Consider the following 16,299-nt stretch of genomic DNA (forward strand, 5'->3'; position numbering starts at 1 on the left):
CCACCCACTGAATGCCAGCAGCACACTTCACCCAGTTATAACAAGCAAAAGTATCTACAGCCATTGCCAAACCCCCAGGGGACAAATTCACCCCATGTGGAGAACCACTGAGCCAACTTATTATATACAAATCACTGCTGAGGAGCTATAATATAGTGGGTAGTGTGCTGGCTTTGGAGGCAGAAGACCTAAATCGAATTTCCAGCTCCACCCACAACTAGCTGTTTAATCATGGTTGAACTGCTTAATCTCTCTGGGTCTTAATCTCCTCAGCTGCAGAGTGGGCAGTGATAGTTTCTACCTGATGGCATTATTTTGAAGATAAAAAGGAAATAGGTATACATATATATTATGTACACACACACACACACATATATATATGCATGAAAAAAGGAGGATCTCAAAAAATATTAACTTCCTACCCCACAACTTTCCCTTAATACTAGGGATATTTCATTGACATGTCTATTGATTCATTCATTTATTATTCATTTAATAAATTTTTATTTAAATGAAAAAACATGGACTCATTGAAATTAAGCAGGGGATATTGGCCATGTGTTAAAAATTGGCCCTGTTAACATATATAGGTAGATTCAGAAACAGTAAAGCATGGGGCTGTGGAGTTTAATAGAACTGATTTTAAGACTAATTTGTACCATTTTTGTGAGATGGGGCAAATTACTTAAGTTTATTTATTTGTAAAATGCTGGTATTAATAGCATCTGCTGAGATATAATGATTAAATGAGGCAAGTGCCTGGTACATAAGCAAATGCCTGGTACATTCTGCACATGTAATCTATAAATTCCCAATGAGTGGTATGAGTAAGAGTCAGTATAGCTACAGAGGTCTTTGTGGAGGAGCTGGCATTTGAACTAAACTTCTAAAGATGTTCAGTATTTATGTAAATAGAAAGGACGCAAATGAATATTTCAAGCAAAGGCATAGATGAAAATGGAGGAGATCAGAATCTCTGGGACACAATATGTAAACCAGTTTTTGAAGCTGGAAGGTCATACTGGGAAACATTCCGTGTTGTTTAGGCAGATTATATGATGAGACTTGCAGAGCTGGGAAAGATCTTAAAGTCACCGAATCCAAATCGTTCATTCTGAAATGTTTCATTCTGAAAACAAAGGCCCAGAAACAGCAAGTGATTTTGCTGAAAGCCACTTAGTCTTTGAAAAAGTTGGTACTGGAACCTAGGATCACCACATAGACCCTTAGCCTCTCCTTGTCCTTAAAGAATACAGACAAAAACTATTACAAAAAAATAGAATGTGCAAACATTCTTCACTTCATAGAATAACTTACCCAAAGCCATACTTTATCCTATAGCTAAATAGAGAAGACTGGCAATCCAACAAGCACCTATTTATCGATGGTCTATATTCCAGACACTGGATACAATGCTGAACAATTCACATAAGGCCCCTGCTCTCATAGAGTTTCTATTAGAGAAAATATTCACAAATATATTACTTTTTTAAATCAAGAAAAAAATTAGCGATAAGTACTTGGTAGAAAATTAAAATAAGGTGGTATAATATAAAATGATTGGATGGCCACTTTGAACTGGAGGGTCAGGCAAGGCCTCTCTAAGTGGGACATGGGGCTTAGATCTGAATGACATAATCTTGAAATTCCGTAGGAAAGGCTTCCAGTCAGAAGGAACATCTAGTAAAGAAGCCCTCAGGCAAGGGTGAGCTTGTTACTTTTCAAAGTAAAGAAAGAAGGCCAGTGAGTCTGGATTTTAGTGGGCATGTAGAAAGAGAAGTGAAGTTAGATAGGTCAGCAGGGCTCTGATCATCTTGAGTTATTTAAGCCAGGATAGGGAGTCCAGATTTTATTCTAAGTGAATTGTAAAGCTACTGGAGTGTTTTATGCAGGAAGTGATCTGATCTGCTTTATCTTTTAGGAAGATCACTCTAGCTACTATTTGAAAAATGGATTGCAGAGGGGCAAGGAGACCAGTTATGAGACTATTGCACTGGTCCAGTTGAGAGATGATGGTGGCTTGGACTAAGGTAATGGATATGGAGAGAAGTAGAGTTATTTGAGATATTTTTTGGATGTATGGAGGACAGATGTTAGTTATACTTTGAAAATAAGAAAGAAGATAGGAAATTAGGAGGATTCTAGATTTCTGGCTTAAGTAACTGTGTAAGTCGTTAAGTTTGATTTACAAAGATAGTACCTATCAACTGCTGCTTTGAAGTCTGAGATTATCATATTGGCAAAACAGACAGAATTCTCTGACCTTTTGGAGATTGTATTCTACTGGATGATTCAAAAAATAAAATAAATAAGATATATATGTGTAGATGGTGGTAGGTCTTGGCATAGGATCTATTATAAATTGTGTGGTCAGATCTGGGAAGTCTTCACTTCCCAGTGAGGTCATTTCAAAGATGGGACCAGTTGAGATCACCAAGGAAGATGCAGGTAGAGAAGGAAGGTGCTTCTGCAGCTCTCCAGTATTTGAGGACTAAAAAGAAGAGACAGCAGGAGAAACTAAGAAGAAACAGTCATTGAAGTAGGAGGAAAAACAGTTAAGTGTGATGTTAGAGAAACCAAAAGAGACATTTCAAGAAGGAAAAAATGGTCAAGTCTGTTGGATATTACTAAGGGTTCACATAAGATAAGGATGGACGTGATCATTGGATTTGACAACATGGAGCTCATTGGTGACCTTGACAACAGCAATGTCAGTGGAGAGATGGGGACAGAAAGCCATGAAATTACTTAAAGAAAGATTGGTGTCAGTGAAAGAGGGAAGAATTGTAAGGGTGAAGTCATTGAGTTCAGGGAGGTGAGATTCAGATGACAAGTGGAGAATTTGGTGTCTGAAACAGAGATGCTTTGTCCACAGTAGGAGGAGGAAAGGCCGAGAGTATGAGTACCAATGCAGATAAGTAGGTAGATTTGACGATGGAAAAAGAAGGGAATTTTGATCTGATTGCTTCTCAGTGAGGTATAAGGTAAGTTCATTGACCAAGGCTATGGGAGGTAGGCCTTGGCAGCCAGGTTTGAAAGGGGAGGAGATGGTGTGAAATAGCTGCTTAAGTAACTGCCTGATATATTCAACTTACAAGTGGCTCTTCTCAGACATTGACTCAGTGTGCTTTTTATCCCACAGCCAGGAGGTTGGAGTCCTATCAGGAAGCTGTCTCTGAAGATGAAGATTTTATAGACACAGTCAGTGGTTCCCTCAGCAATATGGCAAAACCGAGAGCCCCCAGCTGCAGGACAGTTCATAATGGGCCTTTGGGAAATAAGCCCTCAAATCATCTTGCTGGGAGCTCTTTTACTCTAGGAAGTGGAGAAGGAGCCAGTGAAGTGCCTCATTCCAGACAGGCTGCTTTCAGTAGCCCCATTGTAAGTATGAATGCATGACTAGAGTCTTGCACATCCACAATGTATGATGAGAGAACAGCCTTGTAATTATGATAGAGTCAAACTCTGTTGTCTTTTCTACCTTAGAAGAGACTACATGATTGCAGCTCAGCAAGATCACCACACATAATTAGAAGTATAAACAAACAATATCACACTAGTCTACTTTTAAAAAATAACTCAATGTTGAGAGGTAGTATACCATTTCTGAAAAAAAAAAAGGAGAATATTTCTGGCCAGGGCTGATTATGTGTGAGCCTGAAGAAGGCTGCCTTGGTTTAAGAATCATGGCTCACTCTTAGAACCAGCAAAGCTTACCAGAGTTATCTCGTAGTCAGATAAGCAAGTGTAATTTATAGGGACATTCATAGGCCATGTGGTACATTGAAGGCCTTTTTATTGCTCTGTAATCTCCCAAATCCCACCAAACTTGTGGTTTTTCCCTATTCCTGGCTCCAGAAGGTCATTTTCTAATATATCAATTTCAGAGCTCAACAGAATGTGTTCATGAGTTCCAGTGGGAAGTGTCAGGAACTGTCTAGTCACATCCATTAACAAATCCATTTTACTCCAGAAAAACTAGAGGACCATGTAGATGATGGGGAAAAGAGGGAAAGGTGCTGTGTGAAAAAAATTAGAAATTTTTGCTGTATTTAAAATTACCTGTATAAAAGTTCAATTTCCTTCTTTGCCTTTTACATTTTATTAAGTCTTGTGTTTTACCAAAATGAGGATTTCCCAGCCATCAGACTGATAATACCTACAAAATAGGTGACAACAAGAATAAACCAGCTTTGGGGAAGCTTTATGTTTCTACATTGAATTTATCATATGGTTTTCACAGTAGAGACATGATATGAGTAGACCCCTGGGGTCTCATTTGTCCTGGGAAGGCCTCGAACTTCCCAGGATCCTGGCTCTTCTCAAATTGTCAACAAATGCATAATTACAGCAACTGGAGTGATCATTTTAGTCCAGCTCATTTCTGTGGCACTAATATAAAAACTATTATATTATATCTTAGCCATATGTCAAGTGATTCCAAGACTTAATATTTCTCCAACTTTTGAAATGGAAGAAGAATGTACACAGTTCATTCTGTGTACTCATTATAAGCCCATATCGGAAATATATTTTTCTTCTATTTTTCTATCGATATATTTTCTTCTATTTTATCTTTTTATCTATCCTTGTATTGAACTTTTCATTTTCCATCCACCTGAAAGTAAGAACATGTTGGCTCTTGTTTAGACAGAAGCAGCACAGTTTGGTAATAAGGTGGATCTGTGCCACACCTTATTGGTTTCTTGATCAAACCTCACCCTATTCGTGGAACAAATGATTGGTTATTTCTTAGTTTAAAGTCTTTGTCCCTTTATAGATAAATTTACCTCATCTAAAATATATTCTCTCTTCATATACTACCTCTATCCATCAAATCTGGTGAAATATTTATTTCTTTAAGAACTAAATTAAAAATATCACCTTTTTCTGAAGACCTCTCAGATTCTCTTCTTTCAGCATCCGAGCTCTGTTTACACCGTCCCTCCGTCCCTCCGTCCCTTCATCCACATGGCATTGGTCTTATTTCTGCCTCTGGCAATCCACCATTAACTCCCTGAGAGAAGGATTTATCCATCTTGAATCAACATCTAGCACAAAGGCTGGCATGTCCATTCTCAATAAAGTATTTTTAAAGGTTGTTGAAGGAAGCTACTTACCAGGCTGTCTTTTCATCTGGGCCATTTTCTTTTCATTTGCCTTATACTCCAATGTCATTGCTGATTATGTGGATGCTCTTGTGCTGCTGTTACTGTTGTCCTTGTTTTGTTTGTGTTTTGCAAAACCATACCCCTAATATATAGAATAACTAGGTTATGGTCTTCCTCAATGTATAAGATTATTTCTCAATCTTGGTCTAAACAAGTTGATTTTATCTTTTTGAAGACTAAAGATTATTTTGAGAAAACTACATAATATTTGATCTGAAAAATGAGCATCTGCAAATATATCATATAAAATTCTAAAAGCCCATCTGTGGAGCCCAGGTTAAGAATGCCAGCTTGAGGGCATTCTGAGAGTTGTGATGTCTACAAGTGGAAGGTTGTAAGATGGCACCCTTCAAAGGAGGCGAGTTACGAGCCAGCAAGTGAGGATGCTAGGCAGGGTGCTGATGAAGATGTACCAGCCTTTGGGCATTAGAATGTCACTGAGGCCCATGAGTCCTGGGTTCATAGTACCTATTTTAGAAATAGAAACCTCTGCTTTGTAAGCCAGTATGTTTATGCATCTTTAATCTTCTGGAGTTTTTCATTCAACAAGCATACTGTTTATTCTACACGAAATGCTCTTCTCTTAGATCTTTGTATAGCTGTCTCCTTTCTGTCATTGAGCCTCAGCTCAAATACCTTCTCAGTGAAGCTTTCTCTGTCACCCAGTTCCAAGTACATTCCATCTCTCCCTTGTCTCTCTCTGTCTCAATATAAAGGCATCTTATTTATTTGCTGTTGGGATAGTTTTGGATCTATTGTCTCCCCCAGGTAGAATGTGAGTTCCCTGGAAGCCAGGATCCTGTCTGTTCTATGCACTCCTCTTACCTTCAGGGGTGCCTGGCACCATAGATTAGCAATAAATATTTATGGGATAATGAATTTATTAATGAATTAATGGAAGGCATGGCACAATACTGGACATGGGGATATAAAGTGAATAAGACGTGGCCTCAGCCTTCAGTTTTGTTCTAGATAGAGAAGAGAGACATATAAATGAATAATTATAAACCTGTATTAAAGATGTAGTCATAGTAGTTAATCCAAAGTATAGTAAGGTCACAAAGAAGGGAATGATCACCTCTAAGGGAGTGAAGAAGGATCAAGAAAGGCTGCCCGGAAGAGCTACAACTTGAGTTAGGATTAAACTAATGAGTAGAGAGAGGTTCACAGATTGGAAAAGGAAGGAAAGGCATTTGGAGCTGACAGCACGTGGTACGTGCAGACGTTCAGAACCACAGGGCCAAGGGAGAACATGGTGTGCAGGAGGAATTGTCAGCATGTGGTTATTCACCTTTGTCTTTTTTTTTTTTTTTTTCAGGACTGTGTTGTTTAGGAATCAGTGGGGAGGGGGTGGTGGCAATAGAAGATATTTGCGTCCACTCTTAAGCCAAAGTTGCAGTGGTGGAATGGTGAACGCTTAAAATGAGTAGAGTGGCATCCAGCAATGAAATGAAAAACCTTGGGTAGAGGTGGAACTAGGGGAGGAGTGAAGAACAGTATTAGAGCTCCTTGGTCAACTTTATGTCCCATCTAGAGTGTCTTTGTCCACTACTAAACCGTGGGTTTTTAAAGTTTTGCATAAACAATTATAGTGGGCTGCTGCTTCTCTCTGTTTTAAAACAAATTTAACATTTAAATTATATGAAATTTAAAACAAATTTAACATTTAAATTATATGAAAGCCGTTCAAAAGATTCAACCAACACTATTAGAGGGCAAAGGGAGTTTTGGCCAGTTTTTACTTGTTAATTTGAATTTAAATAGAGGAGAGAGAGAAAAAAAAGGAAGGAGTAAACCTGAATGTGAAATCTACAACTTAGTAATGTCATGGGGTTGGGGGGGGCGGTCCTTGCTCCCAGAGCTCCCAAGATGGTGGCGTGTGGCTTCCAAAATGGTGGCGGGCCACTTCCAAGATGGTGGCAAGCCTCGTGTTCTCTGACCTGGGGTTCTTGGCCTCACGGATTCCAAGGAATGGAATCTTGGGCCATGCCGTGAGTGTTATAGCTCTATTAGAAGCCATGGGTCACGGAAGAGAACCATGGAACCCCTGACTAGTGTTCAACTCAATTAGGATGAACCCAGGCACTTAGCCATGCAGGAACAATGGCAAGTGGCAATGGGTGCCTCACTGGATCAGGAGCACAGCAGACACCCTGCCAGATCCGCAGGGGTGGAAGTCAGCGGCGGGTCTGCGATGGTGGCAAGCAGCAGTGGTGGACAGCGAGCGAAAGCTCAGCTCGAGCCATAACAAACACGGACCAGAAGAGTGCAGTTGCAAGATTTAATAGAGTGAAATAGAGCTCCCATACAAAGGGAGGGAACCCAAAGAGGGTAGCCGTTGCCGGCTCCAATGCCTGGGTTTATATCCCTATCCTTGTCCCTCCCGCTGTCCTCTCAGGCAACAGATGATTGGCTATTTGTTTACCTCCTGTTTTTTGCCTAATTAGCATTTTAGTGAGCTCTCCTTACTATCTGATTGGTCGGGTGTGAGCAAAGTTGCAAGCCCCGTGTTTAAAGGTGGAAGCAGTCACCTTCCCAGCTAGGCTTAGGGATTCTTAGTCGGCCTAGGAAATCCAGCTAGTCCTGTCTCTCAGTAGGAAGGCATAATAGGAATTATGAGGGTAAATCTAAAATTTGAGATAGGCAGATACCATGCAAGATTGGGACAAAGATACTAGACTCTCACCAGGAAACCAAATAAGGCTTTGTTTACATTATAGGAAGCTGTCTACATCATACTCTGTAATCTGTGCTCTCTTGTGAAGTAAAAATTTTCTTGAATTTTAAAAAGATATCTACTTGAGCCCAGTGGGAGGTAATATGTGTTTATTTTCCAAAGAGTGACATCTTTTTCCTCTGGTTGTTTCTCCCTCTCTTTCCTTATAGGATATGAGATTAGCAAATTATAGTAACATATGACAATACACTTTTATTGCTTACCCATGTGTCAAGTACTGAGTTAGGGATCCAAAGATCAATAAGATATGGTCCTTACTTTAATGGGCCTTCCAGATTCTCTGGGGAGAGATTCCATACCTATGTAAGGAATTATTTAAAGCAAGATGGTTTGAGTCTGGTTCTGAAGTTAGCAGGCATCCAGAGAAGGCAGAAGCCACCCATCACTGACAAGAGAGCAAAAGCTAATAATGTAATCCTGGGTCTCAATAAGGAAGATTTGGATCTTGGGAGAAACAGCTATGGATACAGTCATGCAGATAAGAATTGCATGTGGTGACTCTATATCTTCACCTTAATTCAGTGACTAACTTCTTAGTCACTAGAAATTAACTTATTTTAGTGGGACAAACTAAAGTAGAAGAATGAGCATGCCTGAAGCTTCTTTGTATGTAGACCTTTCCTTAAATCTTCTGGGCTCTTTTATGTATGTTGTTTTATAGTGCTTTTCAAGGTCTTCTATGGTCCTGACTTTCTAGATTTTTCCCACTTTATTTTGGCAATACTTCTCAGCACAGTTTTGCTGACCAAAGCCACACAACCCCACTTTCACACACTGTTCCCACTCACCTCCAGCTTGGGCCAACTTCAGTATTACTTCTGTTCTCGTGGCCACAGCACAGCCTTTCAGTCATGCAGCCATCGGATTCCCTGAATGGCATATTACGTTGACTACATAAATAGTGTCTTAGTCCATTCAGGCTGCCAGAACAAAATACCATAAACTGGGTAGCTTAGAAACAACAGAAATTTATTTTTCACAGATCTGGAGGCTGGAAAGTCCAAGTTCAAGGAGCCAGCAGATTTGGGGTCTGGTGAGGGCCTGCTTCCTGGTTCATAAAAACAGTTCCTTCTTTACTGTGTCTTCATATGGTGGACAAGCTCCCTTGGACCTGTTTTATAAGGACTTTAATCCCATTCATGAAGTCACTGCCCTCTTAACCTAATTATCCCCAAAGAGCCCTACTTCCTAATACCATCACCTTGCAGGTTAGGATTTCAGCATACAAATTTTGGGGAGACACAAACATTTAGACCGTAGTAAATAGCATTTGTCACAAATGCAGAAGTTGCAAACCTTTCATCAATGTTAGATTGACTTCAGAATGCAAGATAATCCTTATGTTCTGAACCAATTATTAGTCAAATAATTGCTGAGATCATTGATACAATGAAATCACTATTAGCTTCTATGGTCTCTGACTCAGTCCCAAATGTCTTCTATAAAAGAAGTCTCTAAAAAATAGAATTTGGAAAGCCTGCACATACTAGCCTCTTCTTGGAGATTCCTAATACCCATTAAACTCTCTGAGAAATGCTGAAATTAAAAAACTTGTTTAAACTTTTCTTAAACTTATTTCAGTATAGAACTCTTTGTTAATTTTTTGCTTATTCCATGTTAACATTCAGAGAAGGATGCCATTGGAAATATTGCCCTGACCTGTGGAATCTCATAAGCACTAGACAAGAGCATAATCATAGGCCTTGGTAAAATACCATGCAACAAATTTCCCAGGCATCTCTTCATTGACCAAATAAAAAAGTCTCTCCAACTTTACCACTTTCTTCTATTGACTTTGGCAAGGAGGTCCTTAAGGCCAGGGTTGTTCCCTGAGTAACTGAGGGTCTAGCACAAGTGCCAGCTCAGAGCTACTATATATGTGAGACTCATGAGAGAATGTGACCAACTTACTAATTAACAGCCATCAGCTCATGAATGGCTATGAACTCCATCAAACTGAACAAGATTCAAATTTTGCTAAGTCAAATAGCACAAGCCAGTAGAATTAATGAATTTAGATAGAAACTTAGCAATGCTTTTTGACAGCAGGTAACTTGGTGAGTCTGGAAGCCAGGTGAGACTGCTAACCTGTCTGAAGGTGAGTGTGTCATTTGAGAAAGAAAGAAGGAAAAGGAACATTAAATGACTTAGGTTCCTGTTCTACTGGTCTCATCTTAGTCATTATCTCATTTACTTTATACAGCCACCTGGGAGGTAAGTGTTATTTTTACCATTAGGTAGAAGAGGAAAAGGAGGTTAAGTAAGCTGCCCAAGACCTCCAGTTAGTATGCAGTGGAGCTAAGACCTGAACCTAAACCCATATGGTTTCCATCCCATGCTCTCTTCTTATTAAACCTATGCTAACTCTCACCAAACTTTTAAGCATAAGTGCAAACCATAATCTTCTGAGTCCATGTCATACATCCTTATATTTTACTCTTTTCTCTAAATCTCCTCTCCTGGCTTTCCTGCAGTCACTGTGCTTTGCAGGCCAGCTGCCTCTAGGACTCTTAGAATACAATGGTGCTTTTGTACAACCTTGATTTTGAGCATGTGGTTCCTCCTTTGACTCAGCTGAAAAATTTCTAAAGCAGTTAACTATATGTTACTGGATTATACTTAGATTTCTACTACAACATTATTTTGTCAAAACTCGTACTCTCACGTGTGAGAAGCATTGTGTCAAACAAAATGGAGTACATTTTTTCAATAACAACTTCTTAGAGCAAACCTGTACTGAGAAGAAAGTATAGTTGCCAAATGTATGTGGTGATCAGAAATCTGGAAGAACCCTTATTAATGTCTTGTATTACTTGAAAATGCTGATAAAATATGTTAGCCTGCTTATAATCATTTTTATTTTTGGAGAGTTGTTTTTTACAATAGCAGTAACTTGAACCATAAAATACTTTGTTTCAATAACATGGTATGAATAATGCCCAAAGTTTAAGAGTTAGTATTCATCAAGTGATGGTGAATAAATCTATGACCGAGGTAGAATTCTGGGCTCAATAAAATCTACCTCTGCTATTATGTATTTCAAAATGAGAAAACACTCAACTAGATTTGGTGAAAACTAAACTCCTGTTTAGTTTAATAGTTAAGAGAGTCTCCATTGATGAGGTGCATTCTGGATTATCCATTTGTTTTTATATCTTTTATTTTCCTATTCTCACTTCCCATGACACGATATACATTACAATTGTTTTTAGAAAAATAAAGTTTACCATCTCATGATTCATTTAGATCCTGGCTATACAAGTTATTTCTCATGTTGATTTAAAACTAATTTTTATATACTTCTTATAACAACACACTGTCTTATTGGATCTTCAGGAAACAGACGTGGTACCAGACACCAGGCTTTTAGACAAATTTAGTCAGATTACACCTCGGCTCTTTATGCCACTAGATGAGACCATCCAAAATCCACCAATGGAAACTTTGTACATTATCGACTTTTTCATTGCATTGGCAATTTGCAACACAGTAGTGGTTTCTGCTCCTAACCAACCCCGACAAAAGGTGAGTAAGTTCTCTAATGCAAACAAGGGTCACTTTCCAGAAGAGAATTTTGGGTTTAAATGTATCTGTACTGAGCTTGATATATGGATAAAAATGATAAATAATAGTAGCTGTATAACACTGATTCAGCATTTGTTCTGTGCTCTGCACTTACCATGGTCTATGTCATGGGTCCCCAACCCCCTTGGTTGCAGACCGGTAACAGTCTGTGGCCTGTTAGGAACCAGTCTGCACAGCAGGAGGGGAGGAGAGGGCCAGTGAGCATTACTGCCTGAGCCCCGCCTCCTGTCAGATCAGGGGCAGCATTAGATTCTCATAGGAACGCGAACCCTATTATGAACTGCATATGCAAGGGATCTAGGTTGTGCCCTCCGTATGAGAATCTAATACCCAGAGAATCTAATACCTGATGATCTGAGGTCCCACCCAACCCGTCTGTGGAAAATTGTCTTCACAAAACTGGTCCCTGGTGCCAAAAAGGTTGAGGACCGCTGGTCTAAGTGATTTATTGGTATTAACAAGTTGAATCCTCCTAACAATCCTATGAGTTAGAAGCTATTACCCTACTATTCTCCATTTTACAGATGAGGCTAAGTAATTTACCCAGGGTCACAAAACTGGTTTGTTGGGGAGGTGGGATTTGAACCTAGGAAATACAGCTCGGTGCTACTATATTATTTGCCTCTAAGAGGGTAGTGATGAGAGCAATTCATTTTGCTTTAGTTTATGTGCCAAATTGAAGCTTTCTTTGAGACTTCTGAGACCTCCAACATCGTATGTATTATATCAGGCAAAATATACCGTATTGGATTCAATATCATGTTTAATAATATTTTTTTCTTCCTTTTTTTTTTTCTTGGAGACAGTCTTACCCTGTCTCCCAGGCTGGAGCGCAGTGGCGTGATCTCAGCTCACTGCACCCTCCACCTCCCAGGTTCAAGCAATTCTTCTGCCTCAGCCTCCTGAGTTGCTGGGATTATAGGCACCCACAACCACGCCTGGCTAATTTTTGTAGTTTTAGTAGAGACAGGGTTTCACCATGTTGGCCAGGCTGGTCTCAAACTCCTGACCTCAGGCGATCCACCTGCCTTGGCCTCCCAGAGTGCTGGGATTACAGGCATGAGCCACCACACCTGACCAAAAAAAGCTAGATTTTTAAAGTCTATTTGTAGCTTAGAATTCATGGAAAATTCATTTTCAATGCGGAGGAAAACTTGTTTAACGGGCTGGTGATTCACCATTTGCTGTGCTAGCCTCCTTGTGTGTAACTCTCTCACCTTTTACTCACTTAAAATTCAATTTGCAGCACAACCCAATTCAATTTAATTTTCCATCAGATCATTTTCTTTTGGCAGCTTCAGAGGTGGTCAACTTTAACATAAAAACAATTTCCTTCCAATTAAGTTGAGCTTCATCAGGATCTGTATTTTTACAAGGCTTTGCCTAGGAAGTTGCTCTTTGAAAACGTGATTATGCAGTTACAGAATAAAGGCTGTTCTTTTCCCCAAAAAATATTTTTCTAATAAATCTGTTCCCAAAGTAAGCATCTTTTGGTGTTTTCCTTTTAAGAAATATTATTGGTTATTCTTAAAGAATATAATATTCTACTGCTTGAAAGAAAATCTCTGAAGCATATAAGAGTCTAAGCCTCATGGTATTTCAAAGTAATGATAGAAGGGCAGTGAATAAGTAGCTAATCAGCATTCATGTGAGATACAGAAACCTCATCTGTGATTGTGTTTTACTCTTCATTTCTGAGTTGCTGATAAGTTTGAAAATCAACCAGCATAAGACCTTCAAATTATTATAAAATTAGTTATTTTTAGGGGAAAACTTTTTCATTTATTGAGCATTTCTGAATGAGAAAATTTTTCCATCCAATTAATTGGCCTTCCATGATTAATGTGAATTTCTCAGTTTAGTCACTGATAAAAGTTAAGATTTAAGAGAAACCAGGGTACAAATAAGAAAAAGTTCTATGAAAATAGAAATTCAAATCCACATTATGATATTGATAACTCTTCTTGATGAAGCTACTTTGCTTACTGGTCCATTTAAAAGAAAATTCAAAGTAACAAACTTGTAGAATCTGGAAAATAAAAGAGAAAAATACATTTTGTTAATCTTTTGATTTGCTTTCTTCTGGTGTTTTTGTTATGTATATTATTACTTGTTACTTTTTTTATACTAGTCTCATAGCTTTTTCAGTATTGCCCTATAGACTTTATAAGCTTCATTTTTAAATATTATATAACATTTCAAGATGTGTCTATTTTGCTGTTACTGAATACTTAATTTGCTTATAATTTTAAAATTGTTATGGTTAGGATACACACAGATAAGATCATGGAATTCCTGTATTTCAAGTTATTTCTTTAGAAAAAAAATTGCTGAAGGATGCCCACTGCTAGCAATATTAACATTTTATGTCTTTTATTATCAGTTGTCAAATTTCTTTCTAAATGGTTGTAGAAATGTATGTCATTCATTTTAATATTATTAAAATATTAGCAAAGTATTACATAAATATTAAAAATATTAATAAAAATCAAATTATCTGAATAGTTATTAAAAAACAAATTTTTATTTGTATTAATATTTTCCATGGCGGTCGTAAATAGAGAATGGGCTGCTAGCCATTTAAGTGAGTGGTAACTCTTTTTATATCTAATTTATTTCCAGTTTGCCTTCAAAGTTGTTAGAAACTGCTTTTGACTGTATTGAGACCTTTCTAAATTGTCTTTCATAGATCAGACACCCTTCACTGGGGGGGTTGCCCATTAAGTCTTTGGAAGAGATTAAAAGTCTTTTCCAGAGATGGTCTGTCCGAAGATCAAGTTCTCCATCGCTTAACAGTGGGAAAGAGCCATCTTCTGGAGTTCCAAACGCCTTTGTGAGCAGACTCCCTCTCTTTAGTCGAATGAAACCAGCTTCACCTGTGGAGGAAGAGGTCTCCCAGGTGTGTGAGAGCCCCCAGTGCTCCAGTAGCTCAGCTTGCTGCACAGAAACAGAGAAACAACACGGTGATGCAGGCCTCCTGAATGGCAAGGCAGAGTCCCTCCCTGGACAGCCATTGGCCTGCAACCTGTGTTATGAGGCCGAGAGCCCAGACGAAGCGGCCTTAGTGTATGCCGCCAGGGCTTACCAATGCACTTTACGGTCTCGGACACCAGAGCAGGTCATGGTGGACTTTGCTGCTTTGGGACCATTAACATTTCAACTCCTACACATCCTGCCCTTTGACTCAGTAAGAAAAAGAATGTCTGTTGTGGTCCGACACCCTCTTTCCAATCAAGTTGTGGTGTATACGAAAGGCGCTGATTCTGTGATCATGGAGTTACTGTCGGTGGCTTCCCCAGGTAAGTTTATACAAAAGTGAAATAGTAGTGATTTGAAAAGCTCGGAGATTAAAAGACCATACTTGATGGCTTTATAAAGGCAAAGAAACAGCTATCTGGGGACTAATCACATTTGGTGAAGTAGGGGGAAGCTGCCTAGGATTTGATGGGAAAGCAAGTAAGTTTTGGGGCTACCCAGATCTGAGTTCAAATGTGAACTCCATCATTAGGTGGGTCTTGATAAAGTTAGCTAACTATTCTGTGCCTAAGTCTTCAACTCAATGGGTCTTAGAGTACCTCCTTTATAGGTTCCTGAAAGGTTTAATGACATACTATATGCAATGTATGAAGAGCCTTTGGCCAAGTGCCTAGCAAATGGAAAGTGCCCAATAAATGTCAGCTAGCAGCATTATAGTTATGTTACTGTTGTTATTGATGATTTGGGAACAGTGTTTGTATCAGGTTCTTGTACTTTCCTCTGCCCAAGGGGAAAGAAACGAGGGAAAGATTTATTCTGAGTGGTCCCTTTTACAGATACCCATTTGGGATTCAAAACCAGAAGGCTTTTTTATTTGTTTTTTTAGTGTGGATAAAACTACTATTGTTTTAAAAAGTATTTCTGTAATTTGGCAGACTGGTAGGAACTCAAGCATCTTGTCCATTATTTCAGATGGAGCAAGTCTGGAGAAACAACAGATGATAGTAAGGGAGAAAACCCAGAAGCACTTGGATGACTATGCCAAACAAGGCCTTCGTACTTTATGTATAGCAAAGAAGGTGAGACTGCTTAGTGCGCTCCATCTTTTTTGTTTTTTCCCTTGTTTAGCTATCACTGACTGAAAACCAGCGTGTAGCAAACCCTAATCCAGATGCTGGGGAAAGTCCCCTGGACACTGGCTCTCTTTTTACCTTCTCTATTCCATATATTGGTTGGTTGAAGTTTGTTCAAAGTATTTTGCTACAAGGATCCCTAAAACTTATAGTCTCTAAGTTCTTGTATGTTTCAATATGTCCGTGAGTGACTTTATATGTAAACAGTTGTTTGGCTGGGAATAAAAATCTCTGGATCTTACTTTCTTTCCCCCAGGACTTTGAAAATGTTGATCTCTCTGTCTTACAGCATTAAATCTGCTTTGGAAAGAATGAGGGCACAGATGAGCCTTAATTTTTTCATAATAAGCTCTTAATACTCTTTTCTTATGTGCCCGTAAGTATTTATATGTAAATCCAGGTAAATATCCTAGATATTATCTCAGTATTGATTATTCTTTATTGAGAATGCATATCCTTTCTAAACAAAAGTTTAGCAAGAAAGAAGATGGAGCTCCAATAAATTATTTGAGAGATGTTCTCACCGGAACTTTTCATTTCTTACCCAAGGTTTAGTTCATGGGAGCTGCATTAGGGAAAGTGGGATCTGTTGTAGACCCCAAGGAACTCAGTCAACCAGCTGCATAAGGAATCAAAAGTCTGATGGCTGGGCACAGTAGCTCACGCCTGTAATCAGGAGGCTGAGGCAGGTGGATCA

At 38.9% G+C, this 16,299-nt stretch overlaps 1 protein-coding gene across 1 annotated transcript in view; it reads left to right on the forward strand.

Annotated features, from left to right (window-relative positions):
* The window catches only part of ATP10D (ATPase phospholipid transporting 10D (putative)), a 108,212-nt gene that overhangs the window by 58,207 nt on the left and 33,706 nt on the right, over nucleotides 1-16,299 (forward strand). Inside the window, exons 10-13 of the mRNA NM_020453.4 lie at nucleotides 3,143-3,381; nucleotides 11,245-11,433; nucleotides 14,183-14,792; nucleotides 15,442-15,548. Coding sequence (NP_065186.3) covers nucleotides 3,143-3,381; nucleotides 11,245-11,433; nucleotides 14,183-14,792; nucleotides 15,442-15,548 — 1,145 coding nt within the window. The remainder of the gene's footprint in view (nucleotides 1-3,142; nucleotides 3,382-11,244; nucleotides 11,434-14,182; nucleotides 14,793-15,441; nucleotides 15,549-16,299) is intronic.

Source organism: Homo sapiens, chromosome 4 (assembly GCF_000001405.40).
Source record: "Homo sapiens chromosome 4, GRCh38.p14 Primary Assembly".
NCBI lineage: Eukaryota > Metazoa > Chordata > Mammalia > Primates > Hominidae > Homo > Homo sapiens.